We start from the raw sequence: 15967 nt of genomic DNA on the forward strand, positions 1-15967 counted from the left end.
GGTGACAGAGACTCTGTCTCCAAAAAAAATAATAATAATAATAAAAAATAAATGTTTTGTTTACAACTTAACTTTTCTGGATTAGCAAGACAAATGAGAATACTCAATTCTTGCAAAAAATAACTGTGATTTATAGACTCTGGGTTGGCAGTATATCCCACTGGCACGAGGTTCTAAAATTCACTCACATAAAAAGAGCCTTGGTCAGATCATCTTATCAGAGACTGTGAGCTGCCTGAAGACAGAAAGTACAACTCTCATTCATTCACTGACTCATATAAAACTTCCTTTCTTCATTCATTCACCCACATCAATGACTGAACAAAGGAGACACTTAACACAGGCTTCATTAATGAATGAGTGAGTAAAGTTATTTAGCAAACTACCTAGAGCTAGTTTGCAGCTGTTAAGCAGCAACTAAACTAAATCTAACCTAAAGTACTCAGACTCCAGGATCATCAACTATATGTCTAGAGCTCAGAGAAATTAATGCTATAGGCACTGGATCTGTTTTTTATTGTTGCTTTTTGTTTTTTTGTTTTTGAGACAGGATATCACTCCCATGGCCCAGCATGGAGTGTGGTGGTACAACCTCCGCTCACTGCAGCCTTGACTCCAGTGATCCTCTCAACTCAGCCTACTGAGTAGCTGGGACGAGAGGCGGCGCCACCATGCCCAACTAATTTTTGTATTTTTAATAGAGATGGGGTTTTGCCATGTTGCCCAGGGTGGTCTCAAACTCCTGGCCTCAAGCGATCCCCCCACCTCAGCCTCCCAAAGTGCTGGGATTACAGGTATGAGCCACCACACCCGGGTAGGCACTGGATCTTAAAGCCACAACAAATGCCCTTTAACAGCATGACTTGTGCTGCTCTGGAGCACTCCAGGGAGCAGCCTCTTTTAGGATACATGTGATCTTGGCTACTACCAAAAGATGGCAAGAAAAGTAAATTTTCACCTGTTCCTTTCACAAAGATACTGTAAGCAATTCTAGGGAGTGGTAGAAAGGCACAGCATAAGAACAAGGGAAATTATTTTCCCTGCAATCATTGTTTTTCAGTTAGCATCTTCACAGATCTCTACTCCTGGGTCAAATTAGATCTGATCAAGTAGAGAGTAGACCCATGCATAACACTTACCTTCAAAGAGGAAAGAACACTTAGGATGCCCATTTGCTTTTAAAAGTTCCCATATAGTAACAGTATTAAGCTCTCATTTTCAGCATTAGCTAAAAGAGTGTTCAAAGCTTTAAAAGGACGAAGGAGGGGGGAACCAAGGGAGCCTGCAGAGCCATCACAGCTGCCTTGAAAGCTGGAAGACCGCTGTAGTCACAGTCCATCAGTTTCATGCCTGTGGTTTCCTTTCATTCTCAGAGTCAATTTAAATTACTAATAATCAGGAAACCTACATGACAAGACATCCATTAAAGACAACTACTAATAAAATAAAACTAAATATCAAATCGGATCATGGTACGGCTGGCTCCTGGGTTATAATTTAAGCTTGCAAAAAGTACAAACGAATGCAGTGGAGGTACTGCTCTGAAGAACAAAATTAATTGCCTTTGTGACTTCTCCTAACTCACAAAACTCCTTCAGGGAAGTTACTGCTTTTTTAACAAACAGTAGCCACTTTAAATCCCAGATGCTGTGAGTATCACGTACATGCTTGACGGGGCAGAGGCAAGGGGAGTAAATTTTTATTTAAACTCCTCAATAAACAATGCCAACATTTTTAGCAGGGCCCACCTTACTATAACCACATGAACCGTTAAGTGCAAATGACTAATCTAGTTTTTAAGTTTGATACTAATAACTTGGACTAGTTAATTGTGGTTACTTTTTACTTTTCCTTTTGCCTTCTAAAGTTACCACCCAAAATATACTGAGAAATAGTAAATACATAGTCACACCGCGCCTAGGAAACTTAGCAGTATTACATATAAAATTTATTTGAGAGACCCGGTGGCCAGGCAACCCAGATACTACTATCAGATCTGGTCAGATAGTTGGCAAGTGACAGCCTCTCTGGGCGTCATTAGTAAACTGAGGGACAAAGAGGATCTGACACTAAGCTTGACTGTAAAATCATGAGAGTGGAGAGGTTCTTGATCACCACTGCAGTCCTGTTTGTTGAAAGAATGAATGGGGTCTATACCATGGGCCATGCCTTAACTAGGAGATACGTATAATGTATGTGACTCATTTAATCCTTATAACAATACTCTGAAGGGGAATGATTATCCCCACTTTACAGATAAGGAAAGAGAGATAAAAAAGAAAGGCAACTGTACAAGATTACACAGTTACTGGGTAGAGTAAGGATTCCAACCTAGGTTTGTCTGATGCCAAAACCTAACGTACTTCCTGTTTTCTTCCACTAAGAGAAAAATTAATATTTCTGAGAAATGGAATTATTCTAATTATACTACACAAGTCTCAAATCATTTTAGCTCATTATAGAAAAGAGGATATACCTCCAGTTTAAATTCCTAAGCCCTATTTTAATGTAAGGCTTTTATATCTTGTTCACATTTATGTAACCTAGTGGGCAGAGCATCATAGGAGCCCTTGACAGTCTCCCAGAGGTTGCCCTGTGTCCACTGCATTTCCTCACAGACTTTGCCAGAGTACACAGTTTGTTCCCTACCACTCTAATCAGTTGCTGAAATGCTAAACAGTGTGTAGTTGGAATAGCCCCCTATCCCTCCAGCATGCATGGTCCAAATTTTTGCAAAGGAGCTACAAAGGCAATTTTGGAAACATACAACTCTTAACAACTCTCCCATCTGGTTTTCACACCACCTCCTTCCTCCATAAGCCCACAGAAGTCACAGTCAGCTCCTGTTTTCTGGGAAACTAGCTGTCTTTTCATCTTGCTGGGTGTATGTTATGTCTGTCTGTCAGCAAATTGGGAAATGGCCTCCATCCTGACAGATACATTTTGTAAAGCCTTAAAAGCACATACACTAATGTGAAGAAAAAAAGAACTTTTTCTATTTTGGACTCTGGCTATTTGCTCTTTATAGCTGAAGTGTCAAGGGAATGGGATTTCCCAGGTAGACGTACTAATGTAAAATGCATTAGTGTTAAGGTGGGGGCTCCCAATCCACCCAGGGCCAAAGGGTTAATACAAAATGACAGAATTTAATGACTGCTATTATGGTTGCCAAGCAACCAAAAGAAGGTGTGCCATAAAGGCCTAATTAATGAATGAGGTAGCAAGAGTTTCTGTTAAGTTGGTAAGCAGTTCACAGTTCACCATTGCCTAGCTTTGCCCAGATGGTAATACTCTTAAGCTTTCTTAGCTCCACTGAGCAGCAGCAAAATAATGTGATTATAGTTGCAGCTCTGGCTAAAGTTCTGACATCCTTTCCATACTCAGTGAAATTTCTTAAGTCAGTTGAAACAACAGCCTCCTGTAGATTCACAGTGAGGATTGTATGCTTGCATTTTGTTACTCATATGAGATCCAGGTCCAGAAGAACACTGGAACGATTCTCTTCTGGACTCTCTTGGCTGCAGGAACATTAAGACTCATCAAAATTTGGGACTCAAACTGAACTGCCATTGGAACTACAGACTCTGTTGGGACAATGTTCTTTTCAAAGGCAAGCCCAGACAACAGTAACAAAGGACTACACCCAGAGTGTCCACAACTTGCTAAGCTCTGTACAAGTGGTAATATGGTTTGGCTGTGTCCTCACCCAAATCTCATTTTGAAATGTAGCTCCCATAATTCCCACATGTTGTGGGATGGACCCGGTGGGAGATAACTGAATCACAGGGGCAGTTTCCCCCATACTGTTCTCGTGGTAGTGAATAAGTCTCACGAGATCTGACAGTTTTATAAGGGGAAACCCCTTTTGCTTGGTTCTCATTCTCTCTCTTGCCTGCCGCCATGTAAGAAGTGCCTTTGACCTTCCACCATGATTGTGAGGCCTCCCCAGGCATGAGGAACTGTGAGTCCATTAAACCTCTTTTTCTTTAAAAATTACCCAGTCTCAGGTATGTCCTTATAGGCAGTGTGAAAATAGACTAACACAGTGGTTAACGTTATCCCAAGTTTTCGTAGCCCTGTAAGGTAGGAATTACGACTCCCATTTGATAAGCTAAGGCTCAGAGGTACCTTGCTCAGTATCACAAACACTGCTAATGTGCAGCTGAGCCAGGATTCAAACCCTGTTCTGACACCTGAGACTATCCTCTCCCCATTGCATTATGGCTGCCACTGCCGTGGATGACAATCACGAAGAGAACTGAACTGTCCGCCTGGGAGTGCTCTCTAGGTATCACACACAGAGCTGGCACTTAGACATCTATTATCTTGTTTAATCATCATCCTTGCAACGACTGAGACTCTGCTGCTATTATTAATCCTCGTTTTAAAGAGAGTGAATACCAGGCTCAGTTAAATCGCAGACTGAGTTGTCTTATCTGAAATGCCTGGGACCAGAAGTGTTAAAGGTTTTCAGATTTTTTTTTTTTAATTTTGAAGTATTTGCATATATAGAGCAAGATAATCCTGAGGATGGGACCCAAGTCTAAACATCAAATTCATTTATGTTTCATATACACCTCATAACACATAGCCTGAAGGTACTTCTATAGAATATTTTTTAATCATTTTGTGCAAGAAACAAAGTTTTGACTAAATTTTGATGGCAACCCATCACATAATGTCAGGTGTGGAATTTCCCACTTGTGGAGTCATGTCCCTCAAAAAGTTTCCAACTCTAGAACATTTCGGATTTTGAATTTTCAGATAAGGGATGCTCAACCTGTAGCAAATGAAGATAGCAATACTTGAACTCAAGTCTGTGGCTTCAAAGCCTGCTCTCCTTTCACCATGCCATGCTGCCTAAGTACCGACCACAAATCATAAAGGCTTGCTTTGATTTAATTTCCATACTGAAAATGGAAAATATACTCAATTACCCAGTTCCCTCCATGCCACAATAAGCAATTAAATACATGAGCTTTTCTTTCAAGAGTGAACCTTCTACATCTGAATGTAGCTCAACATCACCACGTATTCAAACAGGGAGGGCCCCTGAGAGCAGGTGTAACAGATTGGCAACCACCAGCTAAGTCTTGAAGATAACAACAGGGCAGCGGGAGTGAGGGATGACAGAAGAGGCAGCTGCCTCAGCCAGGGCTCCGAGGGAAAATGCTCTTATTCTTTAATGGAGGAGGGTCTGTGCATGCTGGGGGGCAAAAGGGGGGCCCCAAATGAACAAAGGTAAAGAGAAGAGGAAGAAAGATTGGTCCGAGACCAGTTAAAGTGTTCTCATTAATAGGCCTGCGACTTCAAATGTAATCAAAGTGGAGGACCCAGCTCAGCCTAGCAAAGGATCAGGAGATTTGCCCCTCTGATCCTTTCATTCACCAAAATACAATCTCTTTACTAGGCCCAGCAACTGGTACAGACACATGTTCACCCTTCTATCAGGGCTATTCAAAATACATGCAAACTCTTTTCAGACTAATCTTAGCAGAGTTAACTTTATCATTGCCAACACTGTCTCTTATGGGTTGGGCCATGATTATTTGCAGCTGATTCTTATCTATGGCAATTTCTGAAATCCAAGATTGACTTCCTGCTGCCATCCAGCATGCGTGGGCTGCCTCCATCTTGCTGGGAGTAAACACTTGGGGAACACAAACAACTCAAGGCTAGTTTAGGCAAAATGGAATTAGAAGAGTAAACCAGTCTTTACCTAAAAGAAATGGCATTCATGCATTCATTTATCAAACATCCCATGATCATTTAAAAAGCAGAATGCTAGGGAATTAGGTATGAAAAGCAGAACTTTCAGATTATAAATGATACTCCAAGTGTCTGACCCAGAACTGTCTTCAGCCTTAGAGTGCAAGCTCACCTGCTTGCTCACTTACTCTCCACACCCACTCTTCCCCTCCCTCTCTGCCCCAATGCAGATCCCCACAACTTCTCACTTCACCTGTAAGTGGTTCCTCTATGCTAGAGCCAAAATGATTTTCTAACACACAAATCTGATTATGTCATCCCTTTACTTAAGATTCTCCAAGTCATTCTTCACTGACTTCAGGATCAAGTCCAAAAGCCACCACATGACCTGTGAGGTCCTTGCTCTCTGGTCCTTCCAGCCTCATTTCCTGCCATTCTCCTCTGCTCCAGGCATACTGAATGCTCCACCACTCTGCAGAAGCACTGTGCTCCCTTGGTCCTGGGCCTCTGCCCGTGCTGTCCAACCTGCCTATCATGCTCTGCCTTCTCTCCCATTCCTGTCCCACCTCCCCATCCACCTGGGTAACATTCTTAGTTGCTCTTCAGGTTTCATCCCATTTCCCATCTCCACCAACAAAAGTGAGCTACCTCATGATATGGTTTGGCTGTGTCCCCACCCAAATCTCATTTTTAATTTTAACTCCCACAATTCCCATATGTCGTGGGAGCAACCCTGTGGGAGGTGATCAAATCATGGGGGCAGGTCTTTCCCATGCTGTTCTGATGATAATGAATCAGTCTCATGAGATCTAATGGCTATAAAAATGGGAGTTTCCCTGTACCAGCTGTCTTTACCTGCTTCCATCCATGTAAGACATGACTTACTCCTTCTTGCCTTCCACCATGATTGTGAGGCCTCCCCAGCCATATGGAACTGTAAGTCCATTAAACCTCTTTTTCTTCCCATTCTTGGGTATGTCTTTATCAGCAGTGTGAAAACAGACTAATACAGTAAATTGGTACCAGTAGAGTGGGGCATTGCTGAAAAGATACCCAAAAATGTGGAAGTGACTTTGGAACTGGGTAACAGGCAGAGACTGGAACAGTTTGGAGGGCTCAGAAGAAGACAGGAAAATGTGGAAAAGTTTGGAACTTCCTAGAGACTTGTTGAATGGCTTTGACAAAAATGCTGATCATGATATGAACAATAAGGTCCAGGATGAGGTGGTCTCAAAAGGAGATGAGGAACCTGCTGGGAACTGGAGCAAAAGTGACTCTTGTTATGTTTTAGCAAAGAGACTGGCAGCATTTTGCTCCTGCTTTAGAGATTTGTGGAACTTTGTACTTGAGAAAGATGATTTAGGGTATCCGGCAGAAGAAATTTCTAAGCAGCAAAGCATTCAAGAGGTGACTTGGGTGCTGTTAAAGGCATTCAGTTTTAAAAGGGAAATAAAACATAAAAGTTTGAAAAATTTGCAGCCTGACAATACAATAGAAAAGAAAATCCCATTTTGCTGAGGAGAAATTCAAGCCAGCTGCAGAAATTTGCATAAACGAGGAGCTGAACGTTAATCACCAAGACAATGGGGAAAATGTCTCCAAGGCATGTCAGAGACCTTTGCGACAGCTCCTTCCATCACAGGCCCGGAGGTTTAGGAGGAAAAAATGGTTTCATGGGCTGAGCCCTGGGTCCCTCTACTGGGTGCAGTCTAGGGACTTGGTGACCTGTGTCCCAGTCACTCCAGCTGTGACTACAAGGGTCCAAAGTACAGCTCAGGCTGTTGCTTCATAGGGTGGAAGCCCCAAGCCTTGGCAGCTTCCACATGGTATTAAGCCTGCAGGTGCAGAGAAGTCAAGAATTGAGGTTTGGAAACCTCTGCCTAGATTTCAGAGTATGTATGGAAATACCTGGATGCCCAGGCAGAAGTTTGCTGCAGGAGTGGGGGCCCTCATGGAGAACTTCTGCTAGGGCAGTGCAGAAGGGAAATGTGGGTTGGAGCTCCCACACAGAGTCCCTACTGAGGCACTGCCTAGTGGAGCTGTGAGAAAAGGGCCACCATCCTCCAGACCCCAGAATGGCAGATCCACTGACAGCTTGCACTGTGTGCCTAGAAAAAGCTGAAGATACTCAATACCAGCCCATGAAAGCAGCCAGGAGGGTGGCTGTACCCTGCAAAGCCACAGGGGCAGAGCTGCCCAAGACCATGGGAACCCACCTCTTGCATCAGCATGACCTGGATGTGAGACACGGAGTCAATGGAGATAATTTTGGAACTTTAGGATTTGACTGCCCTGCTGGATTGTAGACTTGCATGGGGCCTACAGCCCCTCTGTTTTGGCCAATTTCTCCCATTCAGAATGGCTGTATTTACCCAATTTCTGTACCCCCAGTGTATCCAGGAAGTAACTAACTTGCTTTTGATTTTACAGGTTCATAGGCAGAAGGGACTTGCCTTGTCTCACATGAGACTTTGGACTGTGGACTTTCGAGTTAATGATGAAATCAGTTAAGACTTTGGGGGACTGTTGGGAAGGCATGATTAGTTTTGAAATGTGAATACATGAGATTTGGGAGGGGCTGGGGTGGAATGATATGGTTTGGCTGCATTCCCACCCAAATCTCATCTTTAACTGTAACTCCCACAGTTCCCATGTGTCATGGGAGCAACCCTGTGGGAGGTAACTTATTCATGGGGGTGGTCTTTCCCATGCTGTTCTCGTGACAATGAATAAGTCTCATGAAATCTGATGGCCTTAAAAATGGGAGTTTCCCTGCACCAGCTCTATTTGCTTGCTGCCATCCATGTAAGATGTGATTTGCTCCCCCTTGCCTTCCGCCATGATTGTGAGGCCTCCCCAGCCACGCAGAACTGTAAATCCATTAAACCTCTTTTACTTCCCAGTCTCAGGTATATCTTTATCAGCAGTATGAAAACAGACTAATACACCTCCCTCAGGGCTTCATGCTTTTATACCCTTATCACATCAAGGTTTTTAGTCTGACCATCTCTCCTGCAAGGACATGTCATCTCTCTGACTCCAGTGTCAACTACATTGCTTGGTTCATAGTATAATGCAGTAGATGTTGACTAAACCAATATTTATTGAAGGAATGAATAGGTGATACCTAACACCCACCATATTCTAGTGTGATCTTTATTTGCTGCTCAGCTTGTTAAAGAAGAACATCCAAATTTCCCTCCCTTCTTCCCTTCCCTTCTCAAAGACACTGAACTAGTCTAACCTTTGTAGTCATAATGCTTGGTGCTCACTCCCATTCTTAGAGTCAACTGGGTTGCTCTAATTAACCTGCATTTCTCATCCTAACCCCAGACTTGGAAATTGAGAGCCACAATAGAAAAGAAGCACAACTCGTTGAGGGAGGCTGAAGGGAGGGAGCATCCAGGAGATCAAATCTGTGGAGCATCTAATCAGCTTCTAAAACCACACATACCTAAATTTCCTAATGAGACTTCAGCATGAATCTCAACCTTTAGAGGTACTGAAAAATAGACACACTGAATTCTCAATGTTGGCTCCAGGCCAAATCTGACTTCAACTTTGGCACAAAGAGTTAACCACCTGGAGTGAGGGGAAGGAGAGGGGAGGAGAAGAGAGAAATAAAAGACAGGACAGAGAAGCATAAAATTAAAAAAAAAAAAAAAGTCATTGAGCAGACTTCTGAAGAAAAGCTTGGTTGATTTAAAATGAAAGCTAGGATGCAGACAGGAGGTGGCAGCATGGACTTGAGGTCTGAGCATCAAAATGTCTGGCCAGGCCTCCCCAGCTTTCTCTTCAAGGCTGTGCCACAGAAGCCAAACCATAACCTCTCTGAGCACAGGTCATCTTCCAAAAAGGGAGAAGCAACTCGCCTTTCTTAGACTAAGAGATATTCTGAAAATAAAGACTAAGAAGAATAGCAATTCTCAAACGATTCAAGCTGTAAAAAACACAAATCATCCCCAAGTGCTTTGATAGCTGATAAAAAAATTTTCCAAATCTGAACTTCCATTCTAATTTTGACAAATATTCTAAATTGGCTTCTAATGATACAAAAATATGAGATGACTTTATTGCATACCATTTCAATCTGGCTCAAAACCATTAACAAATGCATCTTCAGGAAAATTCTTAGCAAGAGAAATTCAAAAGCAACTCTTACTCATTTTTGAAATCTGTTTCAATGAGTTCTAAATTTATAGTAAAACATCTCTGCAATTGTAACGCCATTCAGAGCACAATGACACCAATTATGCCCAAGCTTCACTAATTGTTAAAGCTTTAGATAAAGCTAAAAATTTAGAAGTTGGATATGAAACACTCTTGTGACCCTCATTATATTTTTCTCAAAAATGTTCAATATCAGTAGCAGAACTGTGAGTTAAATGCTAAAATTCAGTGACAGAGAAGGAATTTATGAAGCCTTTTAAAACACTTAAAAGCTGAATGGCTCAGGTCTTTGATGTGACTCAGTGCTTTGCAAACCAACTTGAGAAAAGTTTCCTTCTGTCCCGCATGCAAAGGCAGCTGCCCGGGACTACAGGTTCTAGAGTGTGATTTGGAAACATTTCAGCATCACACTCCCTATAATTCAAACCCTGTTTTGTGTCTGTCTTTATAGGTCATTGTTGGCCAGATGGAAAATATTAAGGAAAAGAGATTGCAACTAAACCAGTAGGCTGTGGTACACAGTTGCAAGGCCGCAGTTAACCACGAGCAGAACTGCAGGCAGGCTTTGCTTAGCTGCAAGCAAAGCTCTGGCGCATCCTCTGCCCAGCAGCAGGAGGGCCCCTGGCCAGCTGAGAGCAGTCACTGTGCCAAACAGACTGTACGGGCCTCACTGCTCGGATGCTTCCAGAGAAAGAAGGAGAATCGATGGGTTCCTTTGTAAACAACTTCTTGTGCTTTCGGGCTGTGACCGACTTCAAAGGTGGCATAACTTAATTCTGTCACAAATTATGCCATGGAAATCTTGAGGAAGATATCTTCCTGAGGAAATACCTACGTGGCCCCTTATAAACTAAATTCTAACAGGTAAACAACAAACAACAAAAGAAAAACACGTTCAGCTTTTAGTAAGTAAGAAAAACTGCACAACCTAATATAATTTCTACTCACGACTTAAACCAGTTTTTAGTAAAATCTTACTGGGCATTAGTGAATGCAGACCTTAAATATCAAAGTTTGTGTTGCACTATGATACGACTTTATACATCCATCTCTATTAATGGGACCTGACTCACAGCATTGATTTCCCTCTCAAATATTTGTTGAATAAAATGTGTTAATTTTTAATAATGGGCAACCTTTATTAATGGCCTAGTCTGCAACAAGTGTTCTTCTCAGGACTTTACATGTATTTCATTTTCAGAAGAAGTCATTTTTACGAAGAAAAGCTCTCATTTGTAAAGGATGTAAGGTAGGCATTAGCATCATTATTCCCTTGACACAAAAGCCCCTCAGATAATTCAATAATAACGTGTCTCACATTGAATCCAAGCCTGACTATGAATCCAGATTCTTCCACCACACTCCATGCTGCCTCTCCCTATCACACGAACATACTTTAGCCATTCCAAAAATGACCATTTCCGAAATGCACCAGACCATGAAGTCCTTGAGGACAGGGATAGTGCTTTATTCACAGCTGAATCCCCAGTACACAGCACAGAGCATTAAAAAATGAATGAAGAGAATAGAGGGAGGAGCCTCTGGCTTTTACCAGTTGCTCACACACAAGCACCCACAATAGGTAGTGTGAAATTTGCTCCCTGGTATCATAGAAGAGGTATACAGTACTTGGGTAATTCTTAATAATGGTGAAAAAAACAGCAAGTGAAGAAAAGATCTTAAATATGGATTTTTAGCCTATGATCCAGAGACCACAGAAGGGGTTCTGTGAAAACCTATAATGTCTATAGAACTTTTTAAGGAAACCCACATAAACATTTTTTTGGAGACAGTTCCTGGAGCTTTCAGCAGACTTGCAAAGGTATCCTATCCTCCCAAAAAGTTTGCCTTCTAAGAGTCTTCTCCAATTTTATTGTCATGGGGCTGAGTGGGAAAGGCCAGGGACTCTGTGGTAGAGGGCTTATGTTCAAGTCATGTCCTCCAGGCAGTCATAGAACCTTGGTCAGGTGACTCTGAAGCTCAGTGTTGTCACGTGTAATTTACCCAGTTGTCACAAGATCTAAACGGGATGATCAGCATTAAAGTATTCAACACAATACCTTCTCTCTACTTGGCTAGTGTGTAAGGTATACAACAATAAAACATGAACAGGAGATGGTACAGAACCACTGAAGGAAATATAATGAGAGTACCAGCTGCTCTTCTTTTCCCAGAAAATGTTTTCTTGTTTAGTCATCTAAGAGAAAAGAGCCAGAAAACATCCACTTTTCCTGGAATGCCTACTACAGAGCCTCATTTATATCAAGCTAAAAGTTAATATCCATACTTCAAACTAGATTTTCTGAAGTAAAAGAAATTAAATGATATTCTCATAGGCAAAACAAAAGAAATTCTAAAACACCTATGACACTCAAGGAAAGAAACATGGATTCTGTCTCAAATCTAACCCACCTATCCAGAGAACAGCACTTTTCCGATCCTCCAGATGTATCCTTTGAAGCTACTTGCTTTGACATCATAATTACAAAATGGTGCAAGGGCTGTGAAATCATAAACAGATGATGACTCAAAGGACAAACATCAAGAAACAATCTTTTACTTGCTAAAGACCTTAAATGATAGGAAAACACCTTCAGAAAGCCAAGAATGAAAGTAATAAAAACTTAGTATTTAATTATTAGCTGTACCATTCATATTAGCACCAATAAGGGAAAGAAAAAAAAAAGGGAATAAATATTTAGGTATAAATCTAACAATACAGGTGTAGGAACTGTATGCCAAAAACCACAAAACACCAAAGAAAGAAATCAAAGAATCCCTAAATAGGCCAGGCGTGGTGGCTCATGCCTGTAATCCCAGCACTTTGGGAGGCTGAGGCAGGCAGATCATGAGGTCAGGAGATCGAGACCATCCTGGCTAACACAGTGAAACCCCATCTCTACTAAAAATACAAAATATTAGCCAGGCATTGTGGCAGGCTCCTGTAGTCCCAGTTACTCGGGAGGCTGAGGCAGGAGAATGGCATGAACCCAGAAGGCGGAGCTTGCAGTGAGCCAAGATCGCACCACTGCACTCCAGCCTGGGCAACAGAGTGAGACTCTGTCTCAAAAAAAAAAAAAGAATCCCTAAGTAGATGGAGAGATGTACTATGTTCATGGACTGAAAGACCCAAATATTGTAAAAAGGTTATCTTTGCAGCTGGGCGCAGTGGCTCACACCTGTAATCCCAGCACTTTGGGAGGCCAAGGCGGGCAGACAACCTGAGGTCAGGAGTGAGAGACTAGTCTGACCAACATGGAGAAACCCTGTCTCTACTAAAAATACAAAATTAGCCAGGCGTGGTGGCACATGCCTGTAATCCCAGCTACTCAGGAGGCTGAGGCAGGAGAACTGCTTGAACCCAGGAGGCAGAGGTTACAGTGAGCCGAGATCGTGCCATTGCACTCCTGCCTGGGCAACAATTGCAAAACTCTGTCTCCCAAAAAAAAAAAAAAAAAAAAAAAAAAAAAAACAGGCATCAGTCATCTTTACCCAAGTCATTTTATACATTCAATCCAATGTCAAACCAAATCACAGTGGGATTTTCTATAGCTATTAAAGGTCAAGAAACTAGAAGAGCAAAATTTATGTGGAAAAGCAAAGAAACTAGAATAGCTAAGACTATTTTAAAAATGAAAAACACAGCTGGAAGATTAATGCTATCTGATTTGAAGAATTACTATGATGCCACGATTAAGACAGTATAGTATTGATAGATACATAGATGCTACATCAGCATAATCCTGATACCAAAACCTGGCAGAGACACAACAAAAAAAGGAAATTTCAGGCCAATATCGCTGATGAACATCGATGCGAAAATCCTCAATAAAATACTGGCAAACCAAATCCAGCAGCACATTAAAAAGCTTATCCACCACGATCAAGTCAGCTTCATCCCTGGGATGCAAGGCTGGTTCAACATACACAAATCAATAAACGTAATCCATCACATAAACAGAACCAATGACAAAATCCACATGATTATCTTAACAGATGCAGAAAAGGCCTTCAACAAATTCAACCCCCCTACATGCTAAAAACACTCAATAAACTAGATATTGATGGAATGTATCTCAAAATAATAAGAGCTATTACAAACCCACAGCCACTATCATGCTGAATGGGCAAAAACTGGAAGCATTCCCTTTGAAAACCAGCACAAGGACAATGATGCCCCCCTCACCACTCCTATTCAACACAGTATTGGAAGTTCCGGCCAGGGCAATCAGGCAAAAGAAAGAAATAAAGGGCATTCAAATAGGAAGAGAGGAAATCAAATTATCTCTGTTTGCAGATGACATGATTGTATATTTAGAAAATCACATCGTCTCAGCTCAAAATCTCCTTAAGCTGATAAGCAACTTCAGCAAAGTCTCAGGATACAAAATCCACATGCAAAAACAAGCATTCCTATATACCAATAATGGACAAACAGAGAGCCAAATCATGAGTGAACTCCCATTCACAATTGCTACAAAGAGAATAAAATACCTAGGAATACAACTTACAAGGGATGTGAAGGACCTCTTCAAGGAGAACTACAAACCACTGCTCAAGGAAATAAGAGAGGACACAAACAAATGGAAGAACATTCCATCCTCATGGATAGAAGAATCAGTATCATGAAAATAGCCATACTGCCCAGAGTAATGTATAGATTTAATGCTATCCCTATCAAGCTACCACTGACTTTTTTCACAGAATTAGAAAAAACTACTTTAAATTTCACATGGAACCAAAAAAGAGCCTGCATAGCCAAGACAATCCTAAGCAAAAAGAACAAAGCTGGAGGGATCGCACTACCTGACTTCAAACTATACTATAAGGCTGCAGTAACCAAAACAGCATGGTACTGATACCAAAACAGATATATAGACCAAGGGAACAGAACAGAGGCCTTAGAAATCATGCCACACATCTACAACCAACTGATCTTTGAAAAACCTGAGAAAAACAAGCAATGGGAAAAGGATTCCCTATTTAATAAATGGTGTTGTGAAAACTGGCTAGCCATATGAGGAAACTAAAACTGGACCCCTTCCTTACACCTTAAACAAAAATTAACTCGAGATGGATTAAAGACTTAAATGTAAGACCTAAAACCACAAAAATCCTAGAATAAAGTCTAGACAATACCATTCAGGACATAGGCATGGGCAAAGACTTCATGACTAAAACAACAAAAGCAATGGCAACAAAAGCCAAAATTGGCAAATGGGATCTAATTAAACTAAAGAGCTTCTGCACAGCAAAAGAGACTATCATCAGAGTGAACAGGCAACCTACAGAATGGGAGAAAATTTTTGCAATCTATCCATCTGACAAAGGGCTAATATCCAGAATATATAGAGAACTTAAATTTACAAGAAAAAAAACAAACAACCCCATCAAAAAGAGGGCAAAGGATATGAACAGACACTTTTCAAAAGAAGACATTTATACAGCCAACAAACATATGAAAAAAAGCTCAACATCACTGGCCATCAGAGAAATGCAAATCAAAACGACAATGAGATACCATCTCACCCCAGTTAGAATGGCAATCATTAAAAAGTCAGGAAACAACAGATGCAGGAGAGGATGTGTAGAAGTAGGAACGCTTTTACTCTGTTGGTGGGAGTGTAAATGAGTTCAACCATTGTGGAAGACAGTGTGGCGATTCCTCAAGGATCTAGAACCAGAAATACCATTTGACCCAGCAATCCCATTACTGGTTATATACCCAAAGGATTATAAATCATTCTACTATAAAGACACATGCACACATATATTTATTGCGGCACTGCTCACAACAGCAAAGACTTGGAACCAACCCAAATGCCCATGAATGATAGACTGGATAAAGAAAATGTGGCACATAAACACCATGGAATACTATGCAGCCATAAAAAAAAGATGAGTTCATGTTCTTTGCAGCGACATGGATGAAGCTGGAAACCATCATTCTCGGCAAACTAACACACAAACAGAAAACCAAACACTGCATGTTTTCACTCATAAGTGGGGGTTGAACAGTGAGAACACATGGACACGGAGGGGAACATCACACACCGGGGTCTGTTGTGGGGGTGGGGAGCTAGGGGAG

General features: G+C 41.5%; 1 protein-coding gene across 41 annotated transcripts in view, besides 1 other annotated feature; it reads right to left on the reverse strand.

The window, feature by feature from the left end:
* Positions 1–15967, reverse strand: part of DENND1A (DENN domain containing 1A) — a 550469-nt gene that overhangs the window by 335502 nt on the left and 199000 nt on the right. The gene's annotated exons all lie outside the window — the stretch shown is intronic.
* Positions 10331–10625: a silencer, noted in NCBI's record as "tiled region #1336; HepG2 Repressive non-DNase unmatched - State 23:Low, and K562 Repressive non-DNase unmatched - State 24:Quies". NCBI's record gives its function as "represses a minimal TATA promoter and a strong SV40 promoter by Sharpr-MPRA in HepG2 and K562 cells {active_cell/tissue: HepG2 | K562}" and the evidence as "EXISTENCE:reporter gene assay evidence [ECO:0000049][PMID:27701403]".

This window comes from Homo sapiens, chromosome 9 (assembly GCF_000001405.40).
Source record: "Homo sapiens chromosome 9, GRCh38.p14 Primary Assembly".
Lineage (NCBI taxonomy): Eukaryota > Metazoa > Chordata > Mammalia > Primates > Hominidae > Homo > Homo sapiens.